The 12,944-nt window shown below is 42.5% G+C and overlaps 1 long non-coding RNA gene across 1 annotated transcript in view, besides 1 other annotated feature; it reads left to right on the top strand.

The window, feature by feature from the left end:
* LOC105378327 (uncharacterized) overlaps positions 1–9,473 on the top strand; it is a 31,382-nt gene extending 21,909 nt beyond the window's left edge. The window contains exons 2-3 of the long non-coding RNA XR_946002.3: positions 8,554–8,626; positions 9,062–9,473. This is a non-coding gene — a long non-coding RNA (uncharacterized LOC105378327). The remainder of the gene's footprint in view (positions 1–8,553; positions 8,627–9,061) is intronic.
* Positions 1,203–1,372: an enhancer, noted in NCBI's record as "active region_3418". NCBI's record gives its function as "activates an Ori minimal core promoter by ATAC-STARR-seq in GM12878 lymphoblastoid cells {active_cell/tissue: GM12878}" and the evidence as "EXISTENCE:reporter gene assay evidence [ECO:0000049][PMID:35858748]".
* Positions 9,474–12,944: the final 3,471 nt, after the last annotated feature.

Raw genomic sequence — 12,944 nt, 5'->3', positions numbered from 1 at the left:
AAGAAAGTCCTCCCAAGTGTGTACCTTTAAGATGACAGCATTTGGCGGGGTGCAGTGGCTCACGTCTATAATCCCAGCACTTTGGGAGGCCGAGGCAGGCGGATCACAAGGTCAGGAGATCAAGACCATCCTGGCTAATGCGGTGAAACCCCGTCTCTACTAAAAATACAAAAAAAAATTAGCCAGACGTGCTGGCGGATGCCTGTAGTCCCAGCTACTCGGAAAGCTAAGGCAGGAGAATGGCGTGAACCCAGGAGGTGGAGCTTGCAGTGAGCGGAGATCGCACCACTGCACTCCAGCCTGGGTGACAGAGCGAGACTCCGTCTCAAAAAAAAAAGATGGCAGCATTTTTTTCCTGATTTCCATCAGCTACTTCTACTCTACTGGTGTCTCTTTGGCACAGCCCAAGTTCAATAGATGGGTTAGAATTGGACATACTTGACTGTTCTGGTAGCCGATGGTCAGCTCAGGGAGCAGCCTCAGGCTGTGACCACCACCTTCACTTGGATCACCAGAGACTCAAAAGAAAAGCAGGAAGAGGTGACCCCACCCTCTTCACTGGTGAAAGATTGCACATACCTTTGGGACATCTAAAGGAGAATGTAGCCCTTTCAGAGCTAACATTACAGATCACGGCAATTTACTGGACTCGATGTACTCCTCATTCCACTAGGTTCCCTTAGGAATCATCATTTCAATTAGACCCATAAATCCTTTTCTCATTTGTCTGCAAAGACTATGAAACATGATGTCACTTTATTTCTTTTAAAGAAAGCGTTGACGACACAGGTGGTGACCCTAATGATGACATGGAATACCTTGACATCTTTCAGCCCCCCTGGTCATTTCAGTTTGGCCAGGAAATACAGCAGTGACTGGACACACGGGACCTTATGATGGGATTGTGAGTTCAGACACCCCCAGTGTTGGTCTTGTGCAAAGAGGAAACCAGGAGGAGGAACTGTTCATCAGCACCCATGCACACCCACGCGTCTATAATTACCAACAACAGTTGCAGCGCAACCCAAAAACATAAACACACTGAGCTGGCTGAAGCCCAGGGCTCTATTTATAGTCTCCATGGACCTACTAATAGCCTTAACACCCTCACTGAAACAGACCCCAAGTCGGGAGCAGGGCAGGGCCGGGGCTGTTGCAGTTGTGGGGTGAAGCCACTGCTCTATACCTTCAGTTCAATGTGGCCCATGTGTGAATGGGCCACCGAAAATATCCAACCGCTCTGAGAGGTGCACATCTCAAAATAAACATTTTCCTGAGCAGGCCAGACAAAAGCACAGAGCCAAAGGATTTCCAGTTCAGACTCGGAAATTATAGGTTTTAATTGGGAGGTGTAACAGTGGCACGTCATCGTTGCTTGTACGTTTTGCCTGAACTATGTTTGTTCAAGCAAGACAGGAAGTGGCCAAGAGTATGACACAGTGGAAAGAGCAGGGGCTGGGGAGTCAGACAGCTCTACATTTAGCTGGGTGGCCTTGAACAAGTTTCCTGACCCCTTTGAACCTCAATTTTCTCTTCTGTAAAATGGGAATACTAAGAATATCTATCTCTTAGGAGGCTGTTAGGGTCATAGATGACATGCAGATCCTCAAAATAGAAGTTTTGATAGTATCAGTTTTAATAATGCATTATTATAAATCAGGATTTCTGAAGGATTTGACCCATATAACTCACACTGAGTACTTCTATCATGTCTTTGAGAGGGTCCATATTATTTTAAAAAAAAGGTAAAGAGTTGAAAGATATATTTAGAGATTTTTCTCCTACATAGTTGATGTTAAAGTTATTTCAGAAAGTTGAGAACAAATAGGTTTGCTCCATATTTCTTTAACTTCAATATTCAAAGGTTCTATCTATCTATCCATCTATCTATATAGCATAGGTGCAAATTTCATTTCTTTAATATTTTAATAAGGAGTAGTCCATGTGATGGGAGTGGTAAATGACATTATGTCTATTTTAATGTTCAGGGAAAATAAGGATAGAAATTCTATAGCTTGGTAAAAAAATGTTTAAATCTTAAAGAGAATCAGAGAGGCACTGCAAACAATTTCTCCCTGCCCCCAATACCATTGTATTTACATGGGCTCCCAGCTCCTGCTGGAACCCTTCAAGAACTAGGGACCCAGCAGTCAGTCCATTCCATTTTGGGAGCCACTCAAGTAATTAAGAAGACCTTCCTCCTGTTGAGCCCAACTTGTTCTCTCTCTCGCTTTCATGTATTGGTCCTGTTTATCCCTTGAGAAAAAAAGAGAGTCAACTTCCTCTTCTACACAAGGGCTCTTCAAACTTTAGAAGAATGATACCATGGCTTTCCAAGTCTTCTCTTCTCCAGGCAAACATTCTTGGTTCTCTCTACAACCACAGGAAAACTCCTGATCTCTCACTCAAATTCTTTTTTTTTTTTTTTTTTTTTGAGACGGAGTCTCGCTCTGTCGCCCAGGCTGGAGTGCAGTGGCGCGATCTCGGCTCACTGCAAGCTCCGCCTCCCGAGTTCACGCCATTCTCCTGCCTCAGCCTCCCGCGTAGCTGGGACTACAGGCGCCCGCCACCACGCCCGGCTAATTTTTTGTGTTTTTTAGTAGAGACGGGGTTTCACTGTGTTAGCCAGGATGGTCTCGATCTCCTGACCTCGTGATCCGTCCGCCTCAGCCTCCCAAAGTGCTGGGATTACAGGCGTGAGCCACCGCGCCCGGCCTGTTTGTTTTTTTTTTAAGCATTACTAGCGGTTCCTCAATATTCCTTCTCCTCCTCGCTGCCTTTGATTATCCGTATATGGACTGAGTCTAAGCATGTAAATTACATGCAACTTCATTTTTCACTTTGTCTCTCAATTACTTGGGAGCCACTTTCTTTCTCTTGCTTTGTTGATACATATTTAGGAAATACACATCTCATTTTGCTTTCATATTAATCCAAGTGAAGTTTGAAGGTAAATTTACCACAAACAAAAAAATTACAAAGGACATTCCAAAGTCAAAAAAATTAATATTTAATTGCACAGCTTTAGGGTTTTTTGTTTTTTTATTTTATTTTATTTTATTTTTTCTTGTTTTGGTAGATTTTTTTTTTTAATACTTTAAGTTTTAGGGTACCTGTGAACAATGTGCAGGTTAGTTACATATGTATACATGTGCAATGCTGGTGTGTTGCACCCATTAACTTGTCATTTAGCATTAGGTATATCTCCTAATGCTATCCCTCCCCCCTCCCCCGACCCCACAACAGTCCCCAGAGTGTGATGTTCCTCTTCCTGTGTCCATGTGTTCTCATTGTTCAATTCCCACCTATGAGTGAGAACATGCAGTGTTTGGTTTTTTGTCCTTGCGATAGTTTACTGAGAATGATGATTTCCAATTTCATCCATGTCCCTACAAAGGATATAAACTCATCATTTTTTATGGCTGCATAATATTCCATGGTGTATATGTGCCACATTTTCTCAGGATACAAAATCAATGTACAAAAATCACAAGCATTCTTATACACCAATAACAGACAAACAGCCAAATCATGAGTGAACTCCCATTCACAATTGCTTCAAAGAGAATAAAATACCTAGGAATCCAGCTTACAAGGGATGTGAAGGACCTCTTCAAGGAGAACTACAAACCACTGCTCAATGAAATAAAAGAGGATACAAAGAAATGGAAGAACATTCCATACTCATGGGTAGGAAGAATCAATATCGTGAAAATGGCCATACTGCCCAAGGTAATTTATAGATTCAATGCCATCCCCATCAAGCTACCAATGACTTTCTTCACAGAATTGGAAAAAACTACTTTAAAGTTCATATGGAACCAGAAAAGAGCCCACAACGCCAAGTCAATCCTAAGCCAAAAGAACAAAGCTGGAGGCATCACACTACCTGACTTCAAACTATACTACAAGGCTACGGTAACCAAAAGAGCATGGTACTGGTACCAAAACAGAGATATAGATCAATGGAACAGAACAGAGCCCTCAGAAATAACGCTGCATATCTACAACTATCTGATCTTTGACAAACCTGAGAAAAACAAGCAATGGGGAAAAGATTCCCTATTTAATAAATGGTGCTGGGAAAACTGGCTAGCCATATGTAGAAAGCTGAAACTGGATCCCTTCCTGACACCTTATACAAAAATTAATTCAAGATGGATTAAAGACTTACATGTTAGACCTAAAACCATAAAAACCCAAAAGAAAACCTAGGCATTACGATTCAGGACATAGGCATGGGCAAGGACTTCATGTCTAAAACACCAAAAGCAATGGCAACAAAAGCCAAAATTGACAAATAAGATCTAATTAAACTAAAGAGCTTCTGCACAGCAAAAGAAACTACCATCAGAGTGAACAGGCAACCTACAAAATGGGAGAAAATTTTCGCAACCTACTCATCTGACAAAGGGCTAATATCCAGAATCTACAATGAACTCAAACAAATTTACAGGAAAAAAACAAACAACCCCATCAAAAAGTGGGCGAAGGACATGAGCAGACACTTCTCAAAAGAAGACATTTATGCAGCCAAAAAACACATGAAAAAATGCTCACCATCACTGGCCATCAGAGAAATGCAAATCAAAACCACAATGAGATACCATCTCACACCAGTTAGAATGTTTTTTGTTTTTTTAACAGAGTCTCGCTCTGTTGCCCAGGAGTAGTGCAGTGGCGCGATCTCGGCTCACTGCAACCTCTGCCTCCTGGGTTCAAGTGGTTCTCCTGCCTCAGCCTCCTGAGTAGCTGGGATTGCAGGTGTGCGCCACCATGCCTGGCTAATTTTTGTAATTTTAGTACAGAAGGGTTTTCACCATATTGGTCAGGCTGGTCTTGAACTCCTGACTGCAGGTGATCCACCCACCTCGGCCTCCCAAAGTGCTGGTATTACAGGCATGAGCCACTGCGCCCGGCCAGCTTTAGGTTTGCTATGTAAGTATAGATGATTTCCGTGTGCCCTTGAAAGCATTGTATATATGTGTATGTGGACATATGTAAAACCTCTAGCCACGAAGCCCTATAGTACAGTCATGCACCAGGACCAGACTGGTATTTACTTAATCCATGGTTCTTTTAAGCTGATCCCGTACATAGTAATAATAATAATAGCAGCAGCAGCAGAAGCAATAGTGCTTATAACTTACCAAGAACTTGCTACCTCTTAGGCACCATGTTAAATGGTCTAACTTTTTAATATAAAAAATTATGTAATAGATACTATTATACCCCCTTAATGATAAGGACAATCAAGCCTCAGAGAGTTGAAGTAACCTTGTCCAGCATCCCTGGATGAATAATTAGTCACTGACAGGATCTGAGCTGTGGTTGTCTAATCCCAAAGTCCAAGCAGCTGCTGTTTAGTTATTTGAAGTAAGGACAGCACAGACAGGAAGAGCAGGAGGAATACTACAAGGATTCACTCAAGTATGAATTCAAAAGAGTGTGTCATTACTGCACCCCACTGGAACCAAGACAGAGGCCCCAGGAGCAGAGGCCAGGAGGCCCTCAGAGGGTCCCTAATGCATATGTGAGAGACACAGCCTAGAGGACCAATCCAGGGAAAGCGCAGTGAGGAAAGGATCAAATGAAATGATTCATCCATTTGCCCAGCGCATAGAGTTACATGCACACGATTGGGCCCCACTGTCAGTGTCAGCGTTTACACTGTAGAGCCACCCATGTACAGGCCATAGAGAGATTCATTGCAATTTTCTCTCATGTGGACTTCAAAGCCTTGTTCACCAGTGTACACTGGAAAACTTAACTACCTGGTTGCTACAATAACTGTGCCTTTACAAATTAGACTCAAAACAATGTTTTGTGAATTAAATCCCATTTAAAACAAACTGGGATAGCTGGGCCTTTAATAATATTAAGTGTAATGATACACAATAATAATAAACCATGGTTAATTATTTTGTAAAGTGAAGAATTACTGAGAAATAATTCCCAAATTTCTTTTTAAAACCTAAGTATTATCCTAAGATGTCAGATCACCTCTTGTTCACCTCCCATAGATTTCAGTATCTGCCTCACACATAGTAAATTTAATATACATGCAAAGGAGGTGGGAACCCTATGATAATAATTCATATTTTGATGTCTTTTTTCAATCTCTCTCACATATGTTCTCATATCAGATGTGAATTAAGTAGTTCAAACTCATACAGTTAGAGTGTTTTGCAGTTTAAAAATTGCTCCCTATCACCACTCCCTTTTAACAGAGAAGGAAGAATGAGGCTCAGAGAGAGGTAATTTAGCGAAGGTCACCCATCTGGAAAATGATCGAGTCAGGATTTTAATTCATGTCTTTTTAAAACCAGCATATCATGAAGACAGGATTTTAGTCCATGTCTTTTAAATCTGGCATATCATGGGACTTTTAAAGCTCAAACACTGGATGATTTTTGAGCTATTTTGAGGGGAATGGTAATTGACATTTAAAGATATCATGTCTCTTAGCAACCACAGGAGTTTCATGGAGTTCATTTGATCTTCAACGAGATTCACACCCTGAACCAGGCTAACCTATATGAAACTGTTGCCCTGCCTAGGTTCCCAGGGGCCATGCAGGACACAGCATATTTTGCTGTTTCTGGGTTGGGGGAGGGGGAGAGAGAGAGAAAGAGAGAGAGGGGGATGGGGTGACTGTGACTAAGGGGCATGTCATCAACCAGAAATGGATTTAAAAAAATTCTTGCCCTTTCCCTGATACTGAGTTGGCCAGGGTACAGTCGACTTGCTAAAAGGGCAAGAACAAACTCCAGTTTACAACTCCAAAGGGAGGGATAGCACAGATTTCATACTTTTCCTCTTCAGTATTCTCATACCCTGGTGCTGTGCTGTTCTAAAGAATCTGTTCTTTTCTGTGCAACTATAAAAAAGCACCACTTGCTCTTTTGGTAACAAATTTGGACATGGAAGCACAGTTTTTTTTCCCCTCCCTCCCAATGTATCTATTTCATATTTGTTTGTATATTTATTCATTTATCTTTAAATAAACACAGCATAAAAAGGCAATTTTTCTGCGAAAAGAAACTACAATTGCAATCTCACCATCCTAACTCATCAACCATTTTCATTTTGGGAGTTTTTAGCAGGTGTGAGTGTGCACACATGATGCTCCTCCAGATGCAACGTGGTGGTCTGCTTCTGTGCTTCACTCAGTATTAGGATGCAAACAATCCCCATGCTTTGAGCACACTTGCTAATACCTTTTCGCTGATCCTTAAAATGTAAATCTGATGTAGGACAGTTTTAACATATGTTAATATAGGAGTTAAAATCACAAAGATAAGAACTTCAGAGAAAATAAAAGTCAAACTGGGTGAGATTGTTCACTTCCCTAGGACAGCTGTCCCATCTCGCTGCACATGAACAGGTTACAGAACTGGCTCAGGGTTATTCACTCACAGAGGGTTCTACATACAATAATAGCACACTCATCAATCAATGCACAAGCCCTACTTTGTATCAGGAATAGTGGTAGGCACTGGCAATACTAACATAGGGAAGATACATTTTTCTATTCTTAGGAAATTCAGAATATAAAGGCAAAAACAGACGTTGAAACTGATAAATTTTAATGCAATAGACACTGCAGACATATAGAGGGGGGTATAGGTCTTTAAAGAAGGGATCAGTGACCCCAGAGAATCCAGGAAGTCTCCCTAGAGAAGGGGGCATTTGGTGGCATTCATTTGAACACAAGCACATTTGCTCTTCTAGGGCTATTTCCCTAAATAACGCTTCTCTGCATTTTCTCTCTGTTCTGTTCTCTCTCAGTTTGTCTCCTCTCCACTCTCCATGGCTCCCCATTCTCTCTTGGGGAAAGATAGCTTTACTTTGCAGACTGGTAGAAAATAGTAGTCTAAACATTATTATGGCATGCCTGAAATGCTGTCTTTCCCTGGCTTCCACTGGCTCTGGAGGCCCATTAAAGTTTTATTTTATTTTTTTAAAAAGGCTTCTCCCTCCAATTCCTGTCTGCTGTGAGCTGTGTGTAAAGCAAACAAAGTCACAGATAATGTCAACACAATGCACAAGGAAGCCAACGGTAATAGCGTACACTGTAAATTGAATGTAAAATGACCACAGATTAGTATATAATTGGTTGTGTTTCTAAAGCTGTGATTGTTCTTTTTCTTTGAGGCCCTGTACCTCCAGAGATCAGGGGAGAAGAACTGTTAATATTTAATAAGCTTTCCTCTGACCTGGGGCTCTGGAGGAAGGTGACCGTAGATCCAGATGTACAATCTCCAGCAGGGACACAGCCATCCTGAAAGCCCCCGGGTATTCCCTCATTCTCCCTCAGAGCAGTGGGAAGAGCACTGGAAAGGCAGCGAAACCCAGGGCGCCGAGTTCAGGAATGTTTGTACTGGTCCCTTGCTTTCATCCCTGTCACTATCGGACTCATTTCCAGTGCCCAGGTATCCATTCACACCATGTAAACTGCTGTTTCAAGTTCTCTCATTCAGGTACCCCCATTTTTACCGTCAATGGCTTTTTCCCCGTAAAGAAGCTAAGTTTGGCTTGACATCTCTACAGGGCTCCTCTTCATAGGCAACCAGGAGCTGAGAAGACCTCATTCATGCTGAGATAGTCCTGTCTTCAAGAGAAAGTGAGTCTAATATGTGGCTTTGCAAATACGGCTACCTGCACTCTGCATCTTCCCACCCCACGCTTGCTCAAACATCCTTCAGCATGCTCCTGAGTTGTTGGAACCTTGAGTATTAAATTCTCAAATGGAATGGGACTGCTGCTGTCTTGCTATCTTGCCTGGCTCCCCGCCTCCAAATAACTTCCAGGTGCCAGCCCACTGCCTTGGGGCCTGCTCTGAGATAGTTCTCCATCAGAGCTTTGGGTAGAAAAAGACAGAAGAGATGTGGCTCCTCTTGTGCCCTGAGAGTTGCTCTCGGCTCATGCTGGGACCCTTTTCTGTGGCTGGCTGCTTCCATGCTCCACATGGGCAAATGGGGGCAATATGCCTCCATGGTTTTACAGTGTTATAAATTATTTTTTATTTATTTTATTTTATTTTTATGTTTCTTTTTAGAGAGCCTTGTCTTACTGTGTTGACCAGCCTGGAGTGCAGTGGTGTGATCATGGCTCACTGCAGCCTCGAACTCCTGGGTTCAAGTGATTTTTCCTGCCTTAACTTCTCTAGTACTTGGGACTACAGGCATGTGTCACCAACCTGGCTAATATTTGTATTTATTTTGTAGAGACAAAGTTTTGCTATGTTGACCAGGCTGGTCTCAAACTCCTGACCTCAAGTGATTTTCCTGCTTGGCCACCCAAAGTGCTGGGATTATAGGCGTGAGCCACTATGCCTGGCCAGTTATGAATTCTTTATGTGCATTTTGAGGACTCATTTGAATCCAGGCTCATGTACCACCTAAGACAGATTGCTAAAATACCTTCCATTCCATAAGTAAATTTTGCATACTTATTGAATTATTTGAAAATATATATGTGTGTGTGTGTATATATATATAACATTGACTATATATATAGTCATTATAACATTATATATATATATAACATTGACTAATGAATCCTATTGTTACCCAGATGTAACTGGGTGCATAGATAAAATGGAAGCTCAGCAAATGTTAAATGGAAAGGAGAGAGGGGGGAAGGGAGAAATAATACTATAAGATAGGCACAAATATTGTGATATGAAAGACAAGGTCACTGACGACTGGAAAATTTAGTTAGCTCTCAAAGTAGCATAGACTGTAAAAGCAGACCACTTTCTAGTTACATAGTATTGGTCAAGTTGCTTAACTGCTCTCAGCCTGTTTCCTCATTGGTAAATCCATGTGGCTTTATGAATTAAATAAGAAAATGCATCCAGGAAAACTTTGCATAGTACATATCACATAGTTGGAGCTTAATCAATATTGTCGATCAGTATTATGACAGGAGCTTGCACAGTGAGCATACAGTGGAACCAGTGGTTGGAACAACATCTAACTCTAAAATCTGCCCCTGTTCCACTGCTGTGGGGCTTCTATGAGGCCACATTTGCTGCCATCTCTGTTCTTTCTCTCAGAGTCCAGTTCTAGGAAGCTGATCCATCACTGCCTGCTGAATCGCTCCTGATAGGGATCTAGCTATGAACAACACGTGTTTCCAGCTCTCTAGTTGCTTAGGTCTTGTCTCCCCATAAGCTCAGGAGGCAGCTGAGGAAGCCCATGGGCCTTGCCACCAGGATTGTACAAGAGGGGCCCAGCGAGGACCATAGGGACTCTTCCATGCCAGATTATAGCCCTGTGGAACCTCTGCCTGGAAAATGAGATCAGGTGGGGAGATAAGGGGCTGTGTACAAAATAGTGATTGGAGAAGAAAAATAGGAAACCAACAAAACAGCTCTTTACTTAAGCCGCATGACCATGCACATCACTCGAGTATTCACCTGCAGTAGCCGTGGAAGACGTCCAGGGATTTCCGAGAATCCAGAGAAAGCTGGCTAAAATGATCCAGGGCACAGGTGGGGCTTGCAGAAAAACTAGACAATGAGAATCTTTCAACCCCGAAAGATGGTGGTTTATATGGCCAAAAATCTAAAAACAAATAAATAAATAGCAAAAATAACTAGGTAATACAACCACAAATATTCTTCATCACCAAATGCCAGATTATTTAGAGAAAACCATTTGAACCTATAGCACATAGCTAAGGAAAAGATAAGGAAATGCCAAATTATGAAATGGGTAAGAAAGAAACAAGGAATCTATTGCTTTTAAAATAGCATTATTAAAAACTATTCTTTATTACCTATACCCTGCCTATCCCCCCCCCCCAAAAAAAGGATTTGAGGCTGCAGTTCAAAATGAAAACGACTTTGGGATAAACAAAAGGAGGCCCTTGCCTACAGGAGCATCCTGAAGTGGGAAGGTCATTTTTCTCCTCAGAGGTTGACTTCCATGTCTCTGCGTAGGCAGGTCCCCACACCCCTGATACCATGATGCTGAAATATAGCCTGGTAGGTACTTCCTCCAGTCTCATTTACAGACCAAAAAATTGAGGCCTAGGGAGGGGGGAGCATCTAAACAGCACAGAGTTATCTAGTGGATAGTCAGTGTCTGACTGGGAAAATGGAAACCATGCTGAGTGTTTAAAACAGAGGGGATTTAATGCAGGGAACTGGATGCACAGCTCATGGGGATGCAGAAAAGCCAACAGGGGCCAGGGAAGCAACCCAACATTAACAACAGCAGAAAGCCACAGGACTCCTGGCTGGAAGGGAAAAGGAGAAGCAGGATGGTGGGAGTTTAGGGGCCGCTCTCTGGATTCTGGAAGCCCACTGGTATCTCCTGTGGGAGCTGGTCCCACAGAAGTTATGGACTGATGCCTGGCCTGCTGCCTGAGGCAGGGAGGAAGGAGGAGAAATACCCTGGCTGTTCCTTTACTTCCATCCTCCCATCACCTCCCAGTTCCTCCCATTGGTCAAATCTAGCAGGAAGCCTGGAGACACAGTTGGAGTGGATGATGCAGGACAGAGCAGGGGAAGAGCCTGCTCTTCACCAGATAGTCATTCCTTGGGCACCCCCATAGGCAATGCTAGCTGTCCAGGGTTCTTCCTGGTTCAACATCCTACCTTTTGGGGCAATCATCAGAACTACTTTCTGACGTGCAACCTATAGGGGCTGTGTCGTATTTCGTCAATGAATGCATTCCTGGTAAGTTTCCCAATGAGGAAAATAGTTCACACACAATGTAACTCTGAATGGCAAGTGTTACCTTAATGCATTTGTTTGTATTTCCAGATACTGGGGTATTTTTTTCTTCACGAGGGAGTCTTCTGGGAAATATAGGCATCTTAAATTTTCCTATTTAAAGTGGAAGCATTGCCAAGAAGTGGTTTGTGGAGGTAATGATTTTAGCTCCCTAAAATAGCCATCAGTTCCCCTAAGCTATAACAAATAGACAATCTAAGTGACCCCATGAACTGGCTGTACGTATGCAGTCTCCCGTCTCTACCTTGAAAATTAATTACAGCCCCAAGACCTCTAGAGGAACTCTAGAGCTGCCCCTTACCAAGAGGCAGGAGTAAGGTTCAGAATACTTAGCAACCCCCTTAGCACAGGCACTGACCAATCAGAAAGCTGGAGTGGTATCAAAGCATTGTCCTGGAGACCCCCTGTGCGTCACAGGTTAACCCTTTAGGTGTGGCATTTTTGGGGTAGTAATGTGGCGTGGTCAGAGCATGGCAATTTACCAACCTACTTAGAAGCATTTTGTTAGCTTGATAACCATTATGGCTATACTGGTGCATACTGGCTGAATATCAACATTACCGTGAGGTTCCTGGAACAGGGTGCTGACGGACAGAATGGGGAACCTTTTCATGTGTCCCAGAAAAAGGGTCTTAACTGCTAGTACTGGGTTGCCTGTATACCTCTATTTTATCCCCGAGGTTATTGACCTCTGTTTTTGCCCCAGGGCAGTGACATCTCTAAAGTACTCAGGAACTCTTGAGTAATAATAATATATTACATAATACTAATATGCATTGAACACATATCATGCATCAGGTATGAATATGTTATTTGATTTATCTCATTTAATTCTCACAAGTCACATAAGTCTCACAAGTACATAACTTGTACGCAGGTCTCAGTCCCCAGCACAGTGCCAGGCACGTGGATACATGGCACGAGGATGAAGAAACTGACTACAGATGCTAGTGGAATAAATGAAAGATTGAGAAGCTCTTCCCCACTCATGGCCAAGTTTTGGGGGACTTTTTGTTATTTGTTTTTTTTTTTCTTTTTCCAAGATCTTCCTAAAAAAGCAGAACCTTTGCCCAGACAGGGCAAGCATGTCACGAAGTTCTGCTTTCACTGTGTGTTAAGTGGAAATGATTAGGCAAGCAAGTAGTAAGAGATTCCTCTCTGTGTCTTCTTCCTGTGTGGGGCAGTCCTGCTGTG

Source organism: Homo sapiens, chromosome 10 (assembly GCF_000001405.40).
Source record: "Homo sapiens chromosome 10, GRCh38.p14 Primary Assembly".
Lineage (NCBI taxonomy): Eukaryota > Metazoa > Chordata > Mammalia > Primates > Hominidae > Homo > Homo sapiens.
Note: the sequence above shows the minus strand (reverse complement) of the source record. Positions and strands in the feature narration are given on the sequence as shown.